The following is a 22,276-nucleotide window of genomic DNA, read 5'->3' as shown; positions in this document are numbered from 1 at the left end:
TCTGTCGGATCTTGTCCAAGACTATCAAGGTGATTCCTCTACAAGTCTACAAGAACTAGGACATTACTGAGCTTGGGGTGCCCCATAAAGTAGAAACATCTTAGATTACGATATCGAAGTCCTTTCAAATATCTGGAAAGCCTTCCCAAGAAGGATGGCTACAAATAAGCCCAGGCAGTGAAGACTACGATAAATGCCCTAACTCTTCAGTGCCCAGACACCAGAGAACATCTACTAGCATCAACACCATCCTGGAAAACATGACCTTACTAAGTGAAATAAATAATGCACCAGAAATCAACCCTGGAGGAACAGAAATATGTGACTTTTCAGTTAGAGAATTCAAAATAGCTGTGTTGAGGAAACTCAAAGAAATTCAAGATAACAATGAAAGAATTCAGAATTATATCAGATGAGTTTAACAAAGAGATTGAAACATTTAAAAAGAATCAATCAGAAATTCTGGAGGTGAAAAATGCAATTGGCATACTGAAAAATCCATCAGAGTCCTTTCACAGCAGAATATATCAAGCAGAAGAAAGAATAGGTGAGCTTGAAGACAGTCTATTTGAAAATATACAGAGGAGATGAAAGAAAACAATGAAGCATGTCTACAGAATCTAGAAAATAGGCTCTAAAGGTTAAATCCAAGAGTTGTTGGCCTTAAAGAGGAGGTAGAGAAACAGATAAGGGTAGAAAATTTATTAAAAGGGATAATGGCAGAGAACTTCCTAAGCCTAGAGGAAGATATCAATATCCAAGTAAAAGTAGGTTCTAGAACACTGAGGAGATTTAACACAAAGCAGACTACCTCAAGGCATTCAATAATAAAACTCCCAAAGATCAAGGATAAAGAAAGAATCCTAAAAGCAGTAATAGAAAGGAAACAAATAATAAATAATGGAGCTCCAGTATGTCTGGTAGCAGACTTTTCTCTGGAAATTTTACAGGCCAGGAGAGAGTGACAAGATATATTTAAAGTGCTGAAGGAAAAATAAATAACTTACCCTAGCATAGTGTATCTTGTGAAAATATTTTTTAATCATGAAGAAGTAATAAAGACATCCCCAGACAAACAAAAGCTGAGGAATTTCATCAATACTAGACCTGTCCTACAAGAAATGCTAAAGGGAATAGTTCAATCAGAAAGAAAAGGATATTAATGAGCAATAAATAATTACCTGAAGGTACAAAACTCACTCATAATAATAAGTATGCAGAAAAACACAGAATATTATAGTACTATAACTGTGGTGTATAAACTACTCTTATCCTAAATAGAAAGACGAAAGACGAACCAATCCAAAACAATAACTACAACAACTTTTCAAGACATAGTCAGTACAGTAATATATAAATAGAAAAAACAAAATGTTAAAAAGCAGGGTACAAAGGTAAGGTGAGTTTTAATAGTTTTCTTTTTGCTTCTTTATGCAAATAGTGTTAAGTTGTTATCGGTTAAAATAACGGGTTATAAGATAGTTATTTGCAAGCCTCATGGTAACCTCAAACCAAAAAAAAAAAAATACAATGGATACACAAAAAATATAAAGCAAGAAACTAAATAATATCACCAGAGAAAATTATCTTCACTAGAGGAAGACAAGAATGAAGGAATAAGTCCTTACTTATGATTAATAACATTGAATGTAAATGGACTAAACACTCCAATCAAAAGACATAGTTCGATGTTTCTTTGCTGATTTTCTGTCTGAGGGACCTCTCCAATGCTGAAAGTGGGGTGTTGTTCCCAGCTATTGTTGTTTTGAGGCCTATATCTCTCTTTAGCCCTAACAATGTTTCCTGTATGTATCTGGGTACTCCATTGTTGGGTGCATATATATGTAAAATTGTTATATTCTCTTGAAGAATTGATCTCTTTATCATTATACAGTGATCTTCTCTGTCATGTCTTACAGTTTTTATATTGGAAACCCTCCTCTAACCTGTGAAATTCCTGTTCCTCTTTACCTTTACCTACTCTTTGCTCCCTGATGTGTTCTGGGAACTCAGAGCAGTGCCTGGCACTTAGTGAGTCCTCATCAAATATTTGTGCATTTGAATGAATGAATGTCGATATAGTCCCTGCTAAAGCCAATTTGTGCCCATAAAAACAGTCAAAGGAACTTGCAGAGGTCCCACAGCTCATACTTATTAAAAAACAGCTGCATAATCACCATGGAAGCTATTATGAATTACCAACATAAAATAAACAGAGAAGCTTGAGTTTATGAAACACTGAAGCTTAAAGTCTCATCTTCCTGCCCTGATTCAACCAATATCCATCATGTCTCCATGGATTCCATGAACTATCTCAGTCTCTAAATATCAGTGCTAATAACTATCTATCAAGGTTCCCAGTTGATTCACTAATTGGAAGTTTTATGAAACAATAAATAACACTTCTCTCTTGCCTCTCTAGGTTCAGAAATAAGGAATAGATAAATAGATGACTCAGATGAACGTCAAAATATTAACTTTATTTATGATATATGATAGAGGAGAAAATAGCTGTATCTATGGCCATAATCAGGTTTCCTGTACCCTACATTCCTTTTTATTTGTTCATTAATAAAATCTAACACAACTCTGTGAGTCAATTTAAGACTTTAAAGTACTGAGTCCTGAGGAAAGAAGTTTTATGTTCTTGCATGTGGAGAGGGAAATCAATTGAAACTAAAGATGAATTTTTTTTATTGCTAGCTTTCATGATAGGGACAATTGTAAGTCAAGAACAAGTTCCTAAGAGTTAGAGTTTTCATAGATTCCTAGGCTGATATAGGCCGACATATTTCATCAAATAAGGGCTCCTTGTAAACTCTTTATGATCTTGATTTTTTTTTTTTTACTTTTATGTGGTCTCCAAAAGGGAGAAAAGGAAAGATAAAACTCCTATCAATTCTACAACTAATTATTTTCTCCTGTTCTGCCTTCTCATTCCTCTTTCTTTCCTATTCCTCCTCCTTTTCATTCCCCTCTCTTTTTGCAGTTTTCTTTTATAACCTGAAAAAAATGAGGATAAAATCTTGGGCTACTTGAATTTTTCTCTTCTCTCCTTCCCACATTTCTCCTTCTTCTCTGCTTAGATTTTGGGTAGCTTTCACTTATTCCACATCCCATGAGCCCGGATGTTTTAAAGTTAGTTGCAAAGGATTACATTTTCTTGCTTCTCATCATCTTATCTTAGGATGATAAATCCTAAAATTCTTGAGGCCACAAATTGCTAATTTCCATAAACAAAGACTAGGAAAAACATATCACAGTCATTTTGATAGCAATGGTCACAAAAGCAGCAAATACTCTTTGTCACCCCCTCTGTAGCTGACTACTGATTCAGATGCCATTGGTCCATGAAATTATTTAAGATTCAGTACCAAAGCATAAGCACAGTCAATGTTTCTAGATATGCCGTTGCTATAAAGACATTCAGGGTTTTAAATTTAAACATTTATGAAATATCCCAAATATTTCAGGGTTTCTATGGTATCAGTGGTGATATTTATGTTATTGACATTCACAGATTAGGAAAACTTTATTTTAAAATATAAACCCTACTTTGACATAGCTTTATCATTATCATCTGAGCAAGAGAAAGGACTATTACATGAATGTCCACCTGATCCTCACCTTGTATTTAAATCTCCATTCCAACCATAGGCTTAAAATTATGCATTGATCCATCTCTTTCTCATTGACCATTTTAAAACTATAGAACAGAGGTGACAGAGGCAATACCTTCAGTAATCAGGGAGGTAATATAGAGTGGCATTTGGATATAAGAAAACAGTAGAGAAAAGGTGATAATGAATAGCAAGTCAACTACAGTGTCAGAGAACAGTAGGGAGTGGCAGAGGTCGTGGTAAATTGGGACACATATGCCGTGTTTAAAGGGAGCAGATCTCTTGCTTTTTTGCTGACTCTTGAGAATATACTCATGCATTGCCAGATTTTCCAACTTTTCTGGACCTAGAATTCAGATATTGATGTGAAATATTTTATTCTCCTAAATGCTAGAAACTTATTAAAACCTCTTAACAGAGCTGTGTAGAACAAAAAATATCTGAAGAGTGGAATTGGCTCATGGACTAGCTATAGCTTTGTTTTAAAAAAAATTGAAGCCCAATATCTCTGACAATTCTGTTTCTGTGCTCCAAGGCTGTCCTTGGACTCCTTGGACTCCTAGCTAATGGAGGAGTGGAAAATGGAGAGAATAAGATTTAATGGAGACCTACTAAGAACCAGGCAAAGCACAAATTACCTCAGTACCATCTAATGTTGGTTGAGTACCTATTTCATGCCAGACACTAGGTAAAATTTGTGGGGTATACCAGTGAACAAGGATAAAAGCCCTAATCTCATTGAGCTCATTCTACCTACAGCTCTCTTATCGAATAACTCTATAACCTTGATGGAAAGAAGTACTATTATCATCAATGTTTAAATGGGCCAAAAATGATGGAAAACATGTTTGGACCTGGATCTTTGAGTCTTCAAATCCTCATTTATTTCCACTATTCCATATTCCTTGCTAGTTCCCAAGAAATTCAGAATGAGGAGATGGATAAATAGCTCTCACAATAAATTCCTTATCTGTATATTAAGAGAATGGGGTCCCACTGAGTTCCAAATTACATCTCACAATTATATGTATTTTAATTTTTATGGATACATAATAGGTGTATATATTTTTGGGGTACATGAGCTATTTTGATACAGTCATACAATGCTTCATAATCATACAAGGGGAAATAGGATATCCACCACCTCAAGCATTTATCATTTCTTTGTGTTGCAAACATTCCAATTATATTCTTTTGGTTATTTTTAAATGTACAATAAATTTTTGTTGACTCTAAGAACCCTGTTATGCTATCAAAGACTAGATCTACTAGATCTTATTCATTCTATCTAACTATAGTTGTATACCCATTAACCATTTTCCCTTGCTGCTCCCACTACTTTTCCCAGCCTCTGGTAACCATCCTTCTACTCTATCTCCATAAGTTCAATTGTTTTAATTTTTAGCTTCAACAAATGAGTGAGAACATGTAAAGTTTATCTTTCTGTGCCTGGCTTACTTCACTTAACATAATGTCCTCCAGTTCCATTTATGTTGTTGCAAATGATGGGATCTCATTCTTTTTTATAGTTGAAGAGTATTCTGCATTAGGCCTTTTTTGCACTGCTATAAAGAAACACCTGAGGCTTGGTAATTTATAAAGAAAAGAGGTTTAACTGGCTTACAGTTTTTTAGTCTTTATAGGAAGCACAGCTTCAGCATCTGCTCAGCTTCTGGGAAGGCCTCAGTGAGCTTTTACTCATGGCAGAAAGCAAAGGGGGAGCAGGCATCTCATATAGCAGAACAGGAACGAGAGAGTGGGGTAGGTGCCACATACTTTGAAGAACTAGATCTCATGAGAACTCACTCACTACCATGGGGATAACACCAAGCCATGAGGGATTCACCCCCATGATCAAAAAACCTCCCACATAGCTCCACCTCCAACACTGGAGATTACATTTCAACATGAGATTTGAGTGGGGACAAATATCCAAACTATATTATTCCATCCCTGGACTCCCCCAGATCCCATGTCCTTCTCACATTGCAAAATATAATCATGCCTTCCCAACAGTCCCCCCAAAGTCTTAACTCATTCTGGTATTTACTCAAAAATCTAAAGTCCCAAGGGTCATCTGGAAGTGAGTTTCTTCCACCTATGAGATATAAAATCAAAACAAGTTTACCTCCAAGATACAATGGGGTTGTAGGCATTGGCTAAACATTCCCATTCCAGGGGAAATTAGACAAAAGAAAGGAACTATAGGCCCCATGCAAGTTCAAAACCCAGCAGGGCAGTCATTAAATCTCAAAGCTTCAAAATAATCTCCTTTGACTCCATGCCCAACATCCTGGGCACACTGGTGCAAGAATGCCAGTGCATCCTTAGGCTCCTAAGGCCTTGGACAGCTCCATCTTTGTATCTCTGCAGGGTTCAGCCCCCATGGCTGCTGTCACTGGTTGGCATTGAATGCCTATGGCTTTTCCAGGTGCAGGGTACAAGCTACTCGTGGATATACCCTTCTGGGGTCTGGGGGACAGTGGTCCCCTTCTTGCAGCTCCACTAGGTAGTACTGCAGTGAGGAATCTGTGTGAGGCCTCCAATCTCACATTTCCCTTTGGCACTGCCCTAGTAGAGGTTCTTTGTGAGGATTCTGCCCCTTCAGTAGGCTTTGCCTGGGCACCCAGTCTTTCTTATACATTCTCTGAAATCTAGGCAGAGGCTGCCAAACCCCCCTTACTCTTGTACTCTGTGCACTTGCAGGCTTAATACCATGTGGTTTTCAACTTGCATGATCTGAAGCAGCAGCCTAAGCTGTAACTGGGACACTTTGTGCTGAGGCTAGAGTGAGAGTGGCTGAGATGTGGGGAGCAGTGTTCTGAGACTGTGCAGAGCAGTGGGGCCCTGGGCTTGGCTCCTGACATCAGTAGGTTATCCTGGGCCTCTGGGCCTGTGATGGGAGTGGCTGTCCCAGAGATCTCTGAAATGCCTTCAAGGCCTTTTCCCCATAGTCTTGGCTATCTGCACCTGGCTCCCATTTAGTTATGCAAATTTCTTTAGCAAGTGATTGCTCCACAGCCTGCTTAAATTCTTTTCCTGAAAAAGCTTTTTCTTTCTCTGCCCACTTGGCCAGGTTACAAATTTTCCAAACTTTTACACACTGCTTCCCCTTTAAATATAAGTTCCAACTTTAAGTCAGCTATTTTCTCCCACATCTGATCATAGGTTGCTAGAAGCAGACACGCCACATCTTGAATGCTTTGCTACTTAGAAATTTCTTCTGCCAGATATTCTAGGTCATCATTCTTAAGTTCAAACTTCTGCAGATCCCTAGGGCATGAATACAATGCAGCCAAGTTCTTTGCTAAGACATAACAAAGATGACTTTTGCCCCAATTCCCAATAAGTTCCTAATTTCTATCTGAGACTTGTCAGCTTGGACTTCACTGTCCATATCACTATCAGCATTTTGGTCATAACCATTTAACCAGTCTCTAAGAACTTCCAAACTTTCCCTCATCTTCTTATCATCTTCTGAGCCCTCCAAACTCTTCCAACTGGAACCTATTACTGTTATCCAAAGTCAATTCCACATTTTCAGGTATCTTTATAGTAATGCCCCACTCCTCAATACCAAGTTTCTGTATTAGGTCATTCTTGCATTGCTATAAAGAAATATCTGAGGCTTGGTAATTTATTTTTTTTTTAAAAGAGAGGTTTTATTGGCTCATAGTTCTGTAGGCTTTACAGAAAGCAAAGTACCAGTGTCTGCTCTGTTTCTAGGGAGGCTTCAGGGAGCTTTTACTCAGGGAAGAGTGCAAAGGGGGAACAGGCATCTCACATGGCAGAGTGGAAACAAGAGAGAGTGGGGGAGGTGCCACATATTTAAAAAATCAGATCTCATGAGAACACAGTCACTAACATGAGGACAGCACCAAGCCACGAGAGATTCATCCTTATGACTCAAACACCTTCCCACCAGGCCCCATCTCCAACACTGGGGATTACATATCAACATGAGGCTTGGTGGGGACAAATATCCAAACTATAGCATGTTTCATTCACAATTGAAATAGTAGTAGTAATGTCTGAACCCATTTGATAACATTTGGTCTTATTTGGGCACTGTGCTAAGTGCTTTTCATATATTAATTCTTACAACAATGAGTTAAGTAACAGCTATTATACTCTTTTTAGAGATAAGGTAACCGAGGCTTAAAGAGAATGGAATATGTATTCACAGTGTCACAGATAACAAATAGTTGATATCCAATTCAAGCCCAGATCTGTCCTGATCCAAAGCTATGCTCCAAAGCCCCTCCCTACTCTGACTACAAGAATTCACCTCTTTTGAGATCAGTGGAGAAAAGGAAGTAAAAAGCTAGCCACTAGACAGCTAGTTTAACACTCTGTTCTATCAATATCCATCGGCAGGAAACCAATGGCAAATATAATTTCTGAAGGAGTGTGGTCAGGGATTTTAGCTCATCCCTGCTCAGATGTAAAAATTTAACAGCAGGAAAACAAAATCCATATTCTTCCTATCCCCAGTCTTTAGCATTGCTCACAGGCTGCTTTAGTGGATTTGGCTATTATCCATCACTGTGTATTCTCTTACTGTTAGAGGCAGCTGTCTCAAGAAATTCTGTAGGCCACCTAGATATCAAAATAAAAACATGCTAAGCCAAATATAAATGGGAGAAGTCATGACATAAACTAGTTGCATTAGGGTAATCAATTCTTGGCATGATATACTCAGAGCTAACATTCATTAAAAAATAATTACCTCTCTGATTTGTGGGAAGCTAGCAAAATATTTACAAATAAATAGCTCTTCCTCTTCAAGTATTTATGAACAGGTATTGAGTTCTATAGATTATATATAATGAGCTTTTTAATTTCTCTTGCAAACTTGTTACTTGCTTTTTTTTTTTTTTTTCTTTTCTTGGTCCATTCACCTGATCATTCAAATGAGAACACTGAGTTTTCTTTAGCTCATTCCTTCATCAGGCCCCATGTTTCACTAATCATCAAAGCCTATCCTATTCCACTTCTGAAAATTTTCAGAAATTGCGTTCTTCTTCAGTCCCACTGCCTTTGCCATTGATTAGATTTTTTTGGAATCATTTGCTTGGACAACCATGATAGCCTCTGTACTAGTTTCCTTTTTTCCATTTGTTTCAACATTGCTGGTTTTAAAACATCTTAGATTATAATTCTGTTCTATCAAAACCCTTAGAGAGTGCCTTATTATCTGCAGAATAAAGTTCAAGCCTCTTTAAATAATGTTTAAGATCATTTATGTATTCAAACATTTATTAAGCTTCTACAGTTTATTCTGGGGGAAAGAGGAGTGACAAAGGGTATTTCCTGCCATCAAAGGAACCCACCTAGAGTCTTGTAAATGACATATGATTGTAAAAACAAATGCGGTAAAGTGTAATGGGTGTTTCTTACAAATTGAGAAGGTATAAGGTTGTAATGAAAAAGTAGTTCATTATTTCCTATAGGGTACATCTGTTGGCGGGCTTCCTAGTATGCAGTCTCTACTTTCCCATAATCCCAGATTGTGGTACTCTTAGCTTTAGGAATGGAAGATGTAATATAGGCTAAGCCAACATGTTTTTCTAGCCCCTGAACCCAGTTCACAGTTCAAGGGTGGACATGTGAACTAAAGTAGTCAAAAAAAAAAAGAAAAGAAAAAAAGAAAAGTGTCAGGACTTTTGCAGGAAAATTTACGTCAGAGATGTTCTTAGTTTCTTTCTGGACAAGGCAGCGTGATGACCCAAGAGCTGCTGGCAGCATTTGGGAAATAGGAGGGAAGCCAAGCTCAGAATAAAGCCAACGTTGTAAAAATCAGAGCAAAAAAAAAAAAAAACAAGAAATTTATCTTTGATGTGAGTGTTAAGCTGAGAGCTCAAGTATTGCTTAAATTCTGCCCTAATTCTGAACTTTTTAGTTAGGTAAGCCAATACATTCTTTTTATTTTTTTAAATGCAAGATTACATATGGTTTTGACCCAGTTTTAAATTTCTCTTCACTAAGAAATTGTTGGGAACCACAATTCTCGGGGCTGAAGAAAGGCCCTTATCTGATCTAGATTCTTCCCTATGAAGCCTATATTATTCCAGTCAACTGTGTTCCTATATTTTGAAATGATTGCTCTTGACTTCAGGGCTCCTATTAAGTCTCCCTCTCTCTCTCTCTTTGCTTAAGCATTTGCTCATTTAGATGATTTATGCTGGTCGTGCCTCCCCAAAATCAATTTCTCATAATTTAATTTTGGTAGACTACCCCAGTCCTATTCTCAGCCTGTATAGTCTAAATGTTTCTAACTGTACCCCACGGTTCCAGGGGTGGACACAAGGCCCATGCTGAGCCAATAAGCTTACTGTGTTTAACTGGTTACAAATATTAGTTTAGTAGAGGACATGTGGTCAAGCCTGTTGAATCCAAATGAATAAGCACCACATCTAAGATGTCATTCAGAGCCAGGGTCCAATCAGGAAATTAAAACGTGATAATTTGAACAAGAAGATTTGTTACAAAAATTATTGATGACTCAGCACTTGGGGAGGCTGAGATGGGCGGATCACGAGGTCAGGAGTTCAAGATCAGCCTGACCAACATGGTGAAACCCTGTCTCTACCAAAAATAGAAAAATTAGCCTGGTGTGGTGGCTTGTGCCTGTAATCCCAGCTACTCAGGAGACTGAGGCAGGAGAATCACTTGAACCCGGGAGGCAGAGGTTGCAGTGAGCTGAGATTGTGCCACTGTACTCCAGCCTGGGCAACAGAGCAAGACTCTGTCTCAAAAAAAAAAAAAATTATTGATGACTTACCAGGAATTAACTAGGAATAGATAAAAGGGTAATCTAAAGAATGCCATGGGGCTGAGGGAGAGTATCCAATGAAGGAAAAAACTTGGAAGATGGGAAATTCTTCCCAAAGATTCCTCACTGCTGGGAAGCCACCCGAGGGAAGGAGTTTCACTAGGTATCTTGCAGGCCAGCCCAGCACCATGGGAGTAAGCAAAGCCAAGCATGCTGCAACCAGGAAGAGCAGCCTCTTCCCTCTCCAGGGTCCCTTCAGCACCTTCTACTGACCAAGCTTAGCATCATTCCTGTTGGCAAAAGGAACATGTTTCAGTATCACAAGAAGTGCAATAAAGGGTGGATTTGGGGCTGAGAGGCAAAACATTGGTAACTGGCACATCTGAGATTTTTATTTTAATACTAGGAAAAAGAAGCTGTCTGCTATCCACTGATGTACACTTAAGGGCAAGATGGTGGCCATCGTGCAATCAGGAGATGGAAGCATATCTTAGAATAAAGCTAGCATAGGTGAAAAGGACAGCTGAGAGATTGATAGAGGAAAGTTGGTGACAATATTGCCTGGCTCTAGCAATGCCTTTAATACACACTACTTGAACTTTTTAGTTATAAAAGCCAATAAATTCTTTTCTTACTAAACCAGTTTGAGTTGAATTTAAGTGTCTTATAGTCTAAGGCGCTGTGAGCAAATCTCTAATAAATATTTAAGCATTGAGCTTAGGCTAGTGTTGTATCTCTAATATGCATGTATTGTTTCTCATTCTTTGTCCTTGCATTCGTAATTCATGTGATAAATTGATCTAGGCTCCAATTGATCTGAAAGCTCCCTTAGTGTGGAGAGCCTTCTTAAACATAAAACTGATGCTACATTTGCACAGCACTATACACTCCTTATGTAACATCTTTCAGTAGTCTGTGTAATGCCCTTTGCAGGTGTATCTCAGGCTGTTATGTTTTAATCATTTCATTAACAGTATCATATTAATTACCATGGAACAAATGAGATTGAGAGGAGTTAAGTGACATGGTAAAGTAACAAAGCTCTCCATGAGAGAATGGGGGAGTTGAGAGCCATAGCATTCAGTTATCCGATTTGGGGCAATTTTTTTTCTGGATGAAGTCTTTAGAGTGAGCCAAAAAAACTAAGCAAACCCAACATATTATCTGCCCTTTTGTGAACTGAATTATTTTAATGTGAAAGATGAATGAATAGCTGTAATATTGTCCCATAAACTTAAACGTTCACAATTTAAGAAATTGAATTGGTTTTGATTGGTGCTTTTCTCAACTGCTTCTGAAAGGTAATTTGCTTGAGAATCAAAAAAGAGAGGAGAGAATTTTGTTGAACACACAGAGGAGTGGTTTTCTTGTGAACCATTAGCTTTGCTCATGATCAACCGACACTGAGTTATATCAATAGCAGTCACTCATGTAGTCTGACAGGAGAGGGATTGCCTGATGGAGAACATTTCCAAACATGTGATAGACCAGAAACTGCTCTCAAATGACCTGGCTCTGTTCCCAGAGATGACAGCCCCTATTATATATATATCTTTGTTAAGAAATATTTCTGGATTGCCCGTACTTCTGCAAATTTAATTTAAGTTAGAAGACTGTTGCAGAAGAATAGAACTTGGTATTGGAAAAAGAAATAGAATTAAAATGCCCTTCTCATTGGCTTTGATAATTTTTAATGTTTTTCTCCTTGAAACTTTGGCCTTAGTAGGATTTGGGTATGAGAAAGGAGGACAAAAAAGGAGAAAAAAGAAGAAAGTATGGGAGAAGAAAGAGTTATTAAGGAATATTCATTATAAGTTATAAACTTGACACAATAAAGAGAATTGAACGAACTCTTTTTCCCTAATACCTTTCTATTTTTAGAAAGAGAATCAGGGTGGGAATCTAAGAAAACATTCATCCTGAGAATTTCAGACACATTATTGGAAGTCTTTCCTGAGGGATTCTAGACCTCCTAGAAAAAGAATATGTGTATGTTGTCAAGACTCCAGAAGTTAAGCCCAAAACTCTCTGGTAGGAGATAAGTAGTTTTACCAACCTGTGGGAAGAGTAAATTCACATTTCCTCAGAGGTCAGAAAATTCTGCAAAAACAGACAGTGGTCCAAAAGATAGGAAAATGATATATCTGAATATGGTACTAGTGTTTCTTACAAGCACAGACACTTAGTGAACATATTCTAAATTCCTGGAAAAGGGGGATTTTTAAACTGGAAGAATCAGTTGGCCTGTGGAAGACCAAAAAGAACGATAATCACTGACAAAGCCTACTCATCCAAGAAAGATCAAAATAACTCTGCTAAGTTTGTTTCTAACATCTGAAAACTGGAAATAGCCCACCTGTTCATTATTAGACAAATGGATAAAAGTATTGTGGTATATCCAAACAATGGAATACTATTCAGCAGCCAAAACAAATGAACTAGTTTAACATTCAACGATATGGGTAAACCTCCAAGTAATTTTGCCAAGTGAAGGAAAGCAGACAAAAAAAGAGTACATACTATATGATTTAGTATATTTAAAACTCGAGGAATGCAAAGAAATCTGTAGTGACAAAGCAGATCACATCGCTTGGGTATAGGAGGAGGGTAAGGAAGGATGGGAAGGGGAAATTTCAAAGAAGTACAAAGAAATTTGTGGGAGGGGTAATGTGTATGTTCACTGTCTTAATTGTGGTGATGACTTTACAGGTAAATTTTGTATGTCAATTATACCTCAGCAAAACTATTAAATTAAAAATCTGCTCACTTCTTGGCCAGAACAATTACATTTGACTGTGAGAAGTTCTGGGAAAGAAAATTGCTTCCCAACTTCAGGAATAAGATGTGTTTCATGGAGATGATGTTTCTGAGAACATCAGAGTGGAGCATCAGCTGTGAAATAGCCATAGAAAACCTATAATAGCTTCCAAGATGGAAGCCATTGATTTTGGAATCTTAACAATGAGATCAAGTGAGAGTTTGGAGCTAAGCCAACTAACTTTGCTACTAACATCCAAGTCTTCGATTGTAGCTATAACTTCAATTGCAGTGGGGATTAGGCAAAGATTTCACAAGGAATATTACAAAGGGTAAACATGGACTTGGCATGTTATTGCCATCAGACTGAGATGCCAGGAAGAGGCTGAAGGACATGAAGATCAATGTCATTGTTCTGGACTAATACCTACATTTGTTCTGGTGAAGTCCACAGACAACCAGGCCTATTTCTTTGTCCGCGTTTGTATTGAGAAGGCATTAACAACCAGGATTTTGTTGGCTCAGGATAGATGAAACAAAGAAGAAACATAGGCATTTCCATATCTTGCCATGTGTAGAAGAAACAAGACTTCTATGTGGCTCCAGAGGAATAAACTTAGAGTCAATGGGTAAAAACTATTGAATGGCAGCCAATGATTTAATATGAAGTCATTAATAAAATGAAATGAGCTGCTCTGTGAGACAGAAATCTCCCAGTCAGTGAGAGCATTAGAACAGAAGTTAATTACAAATATTGTTTCTACAGCTTGTGCTCCTTTAAGTTAAATTATGTGTAATGTAATTGATTGATTCAGGAACACAATCTGTGTTATAAAGACCATTATTAGTTATAACATGGTCACTAACTGTGTGTGCATAGGAAAAAAATATTGCAGAAAGCATAGTGATATACAGCTATTTTGAGTGGCTGCCTGTTTAGTTTGCATTGCATTCCTTTGTTCAGTATCTGCAATTGTAAACTGTTACGATTTTGTGCTTTTTGCAACCTAATTTGAATTATGCCAATTTTTAAAACAATGTGCCCCATAGGTGACACAAAGGTATATATTAAATTGCTGTGGATTGCCCAGTTAAATTGATTGCCTTTGCAACATGACTTTTTATAAAGTGAGATTTTTTTATCATTGCAACTATAACATCAATGTGTTATAGCCCTGTAGAAGGGTTGATTACATTGTGCAATATTAGATTAGATTTTCCAAGGTGATTGTCAACTCTTTAGTGATATGATAGTAGCAATCTTATATAGGATAATCAATGGGGATGAAGTTCCTTGTACTGATAATATTTCCCTACTCACACTTACCTCTCATATTCTCCTGAATCTCTCCCTTCTTATTATTCAATTCAGAGCCTCTAGGGGTAAATTTTGGAAGGGAAGGAATAATAGTTTGGTTTCACTCATGTTATAATTTTAGATGCTTTTTTGACACTCAAGAAACGGTGTGAGTAGGAGATCGAGTCTGGAGCAAAGAGAGGAGAGTGCCTAGTATGAGGATACGTATTTCCATGAGATTAGATGAAACTACCCAGACAGAATTTGGAGGCAGGTTGGTAGATGGAGCATCTTGGGCTTCTCTGATATTTAGAGATATACTAGAGAAGATAGGGATAAAATAGCCAGTGAGATACGAACAAATTCAGGTGAACATTGTGTCACAAAAGCCTGGAAAATAAAATATTTTCAAAATGAGGGAAAGCCACATAATTTCTGGGTTCTTCTTGCCAAAAATACATAACTGAATCTAATCATGGGGAAACAGACAAACCCAAATTGAGGGACAGTCTACAAAATGATAAATGGCCTGGAGTCTTCAAATCTATCAAGGGCATAAGAAAGACTAAGGAACTGCTCCAGGTTAAAAAGACTGAAAAGACACGACAACAAAATGCAATGTGTAATCCTTGATTGGATCCTGATAAGTAACTATTATTTTTTAAAATGTGCTATAAAGGACATTATTGGGACAATTGGCAAAATTTGGATAGGTTCTGTGGATTTGATAATATTGAATCAATGTTAATTTCTTGATTTTGATATCTATATGGTGGTTGTGTAAGAGAATGTGTTTGTTTAAAAAAAGAAGCACACAGAAGTATTTAAGGGTAAAGGGGCATAATGTCTGCAATGTATTTCCAAATAGTTCAGAAAAAAATAGTATCTATATCTAATCCACATATCTATCTCTCCATGTGTCTATCAGTAAAGAGTAAGCAAATGAGGTAAAATTTTAATTCAGGAAAACATGGGTAAAAGATGTATGATAATTAATTTGTACTATATTTTCTGCTTTTTTAAATCTGAAATAATTTAAAAATAAAATTCTTAAAATTAAAAGAAAGGAGAAAATATCAAAAATAGACACATGTCTCTGTCAATTATTCCTTTCTTGATTGAAAACTGGCTTTTCTTGGTTTCTAAAGCCCACTATATGTTGCACATATGTCTTTCAACCTTACACCTGGCATTTAATATTCTTTTTGCTTCAGAAATTTAGAACGAAGTCTCTAGACTCAAGGTGCCTTCGACCATATTTTTCCATAGATGGATTTCTAATGATCTTGGATAGAATTAAGCCCTGATGAAAGAATACTTCAGTCTGGTTTATGGGCCTATTCTGCTTGATATATAAAACTATTACATGACTTTTCTCATGAAGGAGTCCTTTGATACATTAGAACAACAATATTATTGTCACCCAACAATTTCATTCCAAGAGCCAGAGCTATATATAAGTCATAAGAATGCATTCATAAGGGTTGGAAAACACAGCTTTGTGAGATTGACAAGAAGACATTTCAGTATCAGAACAAGTGAGGTTTCTGAAGAGCATTTTGTTGGGGTCAAGAAAATGGCAGCTGGATCTGTAGGATATTCACATCGGAGCTTTTTCCCTTGAACATTTTCAGTTCTACAGAGGGCAAAAATTACATCTTTGTTTCCCTCCAATTTTCTTTGGCCTCTCAGACTTCTGAGTGATTCCTTAGTTGTCACTCATCAACAAAGACTTAACGTTTACCAGGGGACTTGACAGCAAATTCCTCAGGCCTTCAAGCCATGGATGATTAGAAAAGCCAGCATTTAGTAATTAAGCCATGAAATGAATGTGAACCACAAAATATTTGGAAGGTTATGGCAGAATATGCCTAGCAGCTGTCCAGCATGAAGGGCTTCTCTTAGAAGAAAAGCCCTTCAGTCTTCACGATATCCAGGGGACCTTTTAGCTGTGTTGCCGTTTTTCCCTAGCTGGAGATTTTCTTATACTTCTGAACAGTTAATATAAATCACAAAATTTCATAATGGTATACAGGCATCCTAGGGTTGGCTTAATATGTATCATCTAGCAATTCGCAGTACAACCTACTGGGTAACTCTGCATAAGATATTTTGATCTGTTTATGCAGCATAATGATAATGGGTTTTGTAAATTGCTTGCTTTTCCTTTTATATGATTGATTTACTGCTCAGGATTACTGAGTGGGCTCAGAGATCCATAAGTTTGGAGAAATATTAAGACTTCACCCATCTGTGTTAAAACGTGAAAATTCTAATGAATCAAGAAAATGCATTTTATATATCTAGAGCTTACACAATCACAGGACACTCATTAAAATATCTGTCTGCTGAGGCATTTGCTAGTGTTTGCTTCTGCAGTAGTATTTCCTCATGTTGAATAAAAATTGTTTATTCACAGAGAGTAATTTTTCTTCAGTTAGATTAATGGTCAGGTTTCTTCTAGTTTGGTATTCTATCAATTCAGGAAACATGTATTAAAATTAAAACAGAAGAAAATGAAAATAACAGTATGGTAGGCCCTTGTTTCACCTCACCCAAAGCTAATTTTTAAACATGTATTTCAATTTCGCTCTAATTTCCTCAATAATAACAATGAATGTTTAGCAAACAGTCGCTGTGTACCATTATGTGCACTCTGCTGAAGGTAATCAAAAAAGGATTTAATGTGGTCAACATATTTTGTTATATTCTCCACTCAATCATATCTCTCAGTTTTGTTTTTTTTTTTTAAAGAAGATGGGATGATTGGCTGGTGGAGTGAATGTAGGTGTTAACACCCACATAAAAATATACCCAAATTCCTGTCATTGTAGTCATGAATTTCAGTGACTTCTTGACTTACAGCTCTGGTAGATAAATACCCCTAAATAGTGCTCTTGATCTGATGACCAGGTAATGACAAAAAGATATTAAATTAAAAATCGTTAGCTCCTGCTAATGACATCTCTTCATGACTTTAGACTCTTGAGGTTGAAAGAAGCTTTAAAAGTTGCCATATGAGAGTTTCTTTTTTCTTGTTCTTGAATCTCTTTCTTAATCAATAATTGTCTTGACTCTGGATTGATATGCCTTGGCATTGGCAAATAATTACCTCCTAAATCTCTGTTAAAAGCTTTTTCTTATATAGACACAAATAATGTTATTATTGGTTTCCTACTGTGTGCCAAGCACTGTTTCACATAGCTTACACCCTTCGGCTCAAGTCCTAGCTCTTGGTGCCACAGAAAACCGTTTAAATTCATCTTTATGTGATGCACATTCAAGGATCTGAGGATGGCAATGGGATTCCTTTATGCACCCCATCTTCTCCAACCTGAATACTTTTCATTTGCAATTAGCCCTGGTAGTTTGACATCATCTCCTCATCATTTTTCTTGTTAATCAGTGTACCTGTAACCCAGATCTAGAGCCAAAACTGAATATGTTTCTTGTTTTAAATATAATAAATAAATTGTGTTTCCTATGATGTAACTACCCACACCCCGCCCCATTTTTGGCAGCTACTCTATTTTGTTAAAGTTGATTTATTCCAATTAGCATTTATCAAGAAACTACTATGTACCAAGTACTATTGTATGTTGAAGATAAAATACAAATCAGACATGGTTTTTGACATGACATCTATATTTGTATAAGGCCAGTGCATATGTTAAACACGTGACTAAGTATAATAAAATGTGCTTCATATGTTACCAGAAGCATCAAAATGCTCTGGCAGCATGGGAAAAAGCTTGATTCTGCATGGTTGTGCTGCTGCTGGTGGTAAAATCAAAAGGCTCATTTTGAGAGTAGCATTTGAACGGGATTGTTAAATGTTACTAGGGCATTTTCAAGGAAAGAAGACAACAGATGTATTGGAATCTTGAAATATTATAGGAAGATTAATAATAATAATAATAAAAGCAGATGTGGAAATATGAGCTATGTTTCAACAGTGGCTAATGGAATCAGGAATCAAGGACTGAGAGGAAGGAGAGGTACTGGCAGTAGAAGAGCAGGTTAGGACCAAACAGTGAATTCTGGGGAAAGGCATTTAGAGCTATGCCAAAGGTACTCATCACACAAAGTGTGGTCTGAAAATGAGCAGCACCATCACCACCAGAGAGCTTGTGAGAAATACAGAATCTCAGACCAGCTGACCTAGAATCTGCATCTTAAGAAGGTTGCCAGGTGGTTTCTGTGCTTACCGAAGTTTGAGATGCACTGCCAGAGGTGACAGACAACACTTTATGTAAGGTTTGGAGGTAAAGAAAGAAGTGAAAAGGGAATGTACATTTTTAGGGATACTGGTGTTATTTCACGTAACCCACACAATGTACTTCTATTACTGTCTCTTTACAGAAAAGAAAACTCACATCTGAGTAGGTTAATTCTATCGCCCACAGTCTTGATTTAATAAATGGTAGAGCAAGAATGTGGAGCCTGGTGTGTCTAGCTCCAAAGATTGCCTGGTTCCATTTCACGACTGAATGATTTTATCAGTTTGGGATTTTGAAAAGTTAAATGTAAGAGAGTCAATGAAGTGGGTTGAGACTGTTTTCTGTCAATTAGAAAATACCCATCATGTTCTTGTGAGGACTGAATGAGGCAGTTTATGGAAGCTGTGTGATGTATGGTGGGTAGGTGCTCAGGAGATGAAATCTGCCATTAGTAGTAACTGAACCCTAGAGTCTTTGTTGCACTCCCCTCTCCAGTATATGCTTACATAACCAAGTTCTTTATGGTCTCTTTTTCCTTTAATATTCAAATATCTACAATCTGACTTGTTGTCCTGAGTGACTGTGGAAAGTCTGGTCTTTTATTTTATCCCCCCTCCAGGCATATCGGAGAATGCCAGGGGATTGTTTACATGTTCTATGATTCCCACATGGTTTTCACTTGTCAACTGTACCAGACATCTCCTTCATATCTCCTTCCTCAGTACTGTTTCACCCTAACAATGGAACAGGCATCTCTATTAATTCCCCAAAGGACAATTAAGACCAAGGTTTGGAAAACAACAGCAGGAAACTACAACGCAGAGAATATGATTGGATTCTGAACAATAATTTTGAGTCTTTGTCCTATGGCTTTTCCCTTCCCTGACTCTTCCCTTGGCTTTGGTTTGCCTCGATGTTTCAGGGGCCACCCTCATGTCCCTCCACATGGATGCTCTGGTCGTTTCTATGCTGCTTTGAAGATAGGCTCCCAACTTTCTCTTGAGCTCAGGAAGAAGGAAAAAGAGTCCTCATTTCCCTCAATGGGGGACTTGTCTTTTGTTTTTTCTTCCCTAGGACTTGTAGAAATGAGGACATTCATGTTCTTCATGGGAAATAGCCATCTCCATTCAAAGAATGTAAACTGGCCTTCCATGTTTACATTAGGTAATCACAGTACTCACCATTTTATTTTCTGTCTGGTTAATTCAAACTAAAATGATACCTTAAGGGGGAAATTGAACAATCTTCAAAGAAAATAGTTCTTTGAAACTAACCCTCCAGCATTTCTTCTGTCAGGTCTACATGTTCCTCCTGATGTGGCTTGGTCTCCTAATCAATAAGCAGCTACTTTTAAAAGACACATGGGGGGACGGATAGCATTAGGAGATATACCTAATGCTAAATTACGAGTTAATGAGTGCAGCACACCAGCATGGCACATGCATACATATGTAACTAACCTGCACATTGTGCACATGTACCCTAAAACTTAAAGTATAATAAAAAAAAGACACATACACTTTAAGAACAAATAATATTCTTTTTAAAAGTTAATTCTTTTTATTGATACATAATAGTTGTGCATATTTATGGGGTACATGTGATATTTTGATACATGCATACAATGTGTAATGATCAAATCAGGGTAATTGAGATATCCATCACCTCAATTATCATTTCTTAAGAACACACAACCTTCTTACAGAAGGAATTCTAACATGTAAACAGAACATTTAATATCTCAGCCTGAATTAGGCCTTCCCAAGGACAGTGAGTAGATATTTGAATTATAACTGCATAGCATAATGGGCTTAGTAAGCCCACTACACTATCTCCTGGAACTGGCACATGCCATCACTCATAGAACAGGTGTGTTTATGAGGGTCTGTGTGTGTGTGTGTGTGCGTGTGTGTGTCAAAAAGAACCACAAGGTTACAGAAAAATTTAGTCTATCCAATTGCCACATTTTTTGACACCATGTTGACACAATATGTCACAGAAACTGACAGCATCCAAACATTGAAACATAGCTGTTTCTTGATTTAAAGATCATGAAATTAGAAGCACTCTGTGTTAAGGGTAGGGGGAGTGGTCTCCAAAGACAGTGCACATACACCCCAAAGACAAGCTTTATAATCACCTTGAAAGCAAAAACTTCCTATAATCCTCCAAATGGTGTGACACGCTTCAGCTCTTTGGATATGTTTTTCTCCCTGGACTGCTCTATTACCCCATGCCCTGTTGTTTGTCTTGGATACAAGATGAAGATTTTCTACTTAGACCTCTGAAAATTATTCAGGTCATGTTTAGCTACAGAATGTTTTGCTGCCTCCACCGGATGGAATCTATTTTTAAAATTTGGAGTTTGAAGGACTAAAAGGAAAGAGAAAACATGATGCTTTATTGGTTTTAAGGCAGTTGTTTTTATGTGTTTCAAGTCATACACTCTTGTGTACTTAAAAGGAATGGGACTTAGCCTCTAAGAAATGCACTTACAGATGACATTAGAGTTTAAGAGACCTAATGTATTTTTTTCAAACCTTTCCTGGACTCCCTCCATGAGGCCTCTTGGTTTAAGATTAGTTTAGACAATATTGTAGTATCTTTCAGTGAAAGAAAATATTAATAACTTTAATAAAGAGGAAGATTATATGCCTATAAAAATTAATCTCAACATTGCAACCTTGCTTCAGTCTGAGGCAAAAGAGGGCCTTCATCTGTTACCACGATGGTTTCCCAGAGGCCAATCAAGTTGTTGACCAGATTTATCTCTGTAGCAGTTAATGCTGAATGTCTGCGGTTTGAATGGCTTGTGAGTAGAAGCCATAAATCAATTGTTGGGTATTGCTCATTTTTGTGGTTTATTCTTCAAAATATAGCCAAAGACAGTAGCAATTTAGAGGATTTTGTTTCTTGGCGAATAGGTATTTCCTTTTTTACACATACATTAACTTGCCGAGTGACAGTATGTGAAAATCATTTCTGCTCTTTGAATACTTGCAGGATATTCTATCACTCTAACTGATGGAAGTTCTTCAAGGAAGCTTTTCTCACAACTTACCTTTTTCTTCTAGCAAAGGGACCATTTGTGAGTATTCTTTGAAACCTAATAGTTTGTTTTGTGTGTTGGTGTATGTATGTGTGTCTGAGAGAGAGAGAGAATTTTACAAAATTGAGTCAAACTAGGATTATTGATTTGTGAACAGTAGGATATTCTATGTTTCTCAAAATAATGGAAAAAGGTCAGCACAAAATTTGTATCACTTAGATTTTTAATAAACAAGAGAAATAATGCCAGATTTTAGAACAAGGACTCAAGTAGCGTAGACTTCAAAAGGTGCTTCTCTGAGGTGTAGGCATTTTAGAAGTCAAATTGTGAGAGGAGCCTCAAAGTGTATTTCCCTCTTAAGTGTCACCTCATTTTAAACCTTGAAGACTCAGGTTTTACCATATCCTTGATATAGGATCACTGCTTTATAAAGTGTTCAAGTAAAGTCTCAAATGTTAAATAATGTTAATACAAAATAATTCCTTAGTTCACAGAAAACTTGAGATTTTTTTTTTTACTCTGGTCCAACTCGCCAGCATATCTGACCTGGACTATAGC

The 22,276-nt window shown here is 37.1% G+C and overlaps 2 long non-coding RNA genes across 4 annotated transcripts in view; one reads left to right on the top strand and one right to left on the bottom strand.

The window, feature by feature from the left end:
• LOC101927995 (uncharacterized) overlaps positions 1–22,276 on the bottom strand; it is a 119,590-nt gene that overhangs the window by 3,952 nt on the left and 93,362 nt on the right. The window lies entirely within an intron of this gene.
• The window catches only part of LOC105377013 (uncharacterized), a 47,433-nt gene that overhangs the window by 1,744 nt on the left and 23,413 nt on the right, over positions 1–22,276 (top strand). Inside the window, exon 2 of the long non-coding RNA XR_940683.2 lies at positions 21,673–21,757. This is a non-coding gene — a long non-coding RNA (uncharacterized LOC105377013). The remainder of the gene's footprint in view (positions 1–21,672; positions 21,758–22,276) is intronic.

Source organism: Homo sapiens, chromosome 3 (assembly GCF_000001405.40).
Source record: "Homo sapiens chromosome 3, GRCh38.p14 Primary Assembly".
NCBI classification, from domain to species: Eukaryota; Metazoa; Chordata; class Mammalia; order Primates; family Hominidae; genus Homo; species Homo sapiens.
This window is presented reverse-complemented; position numbering and strand designations above follow the sequence as displayed.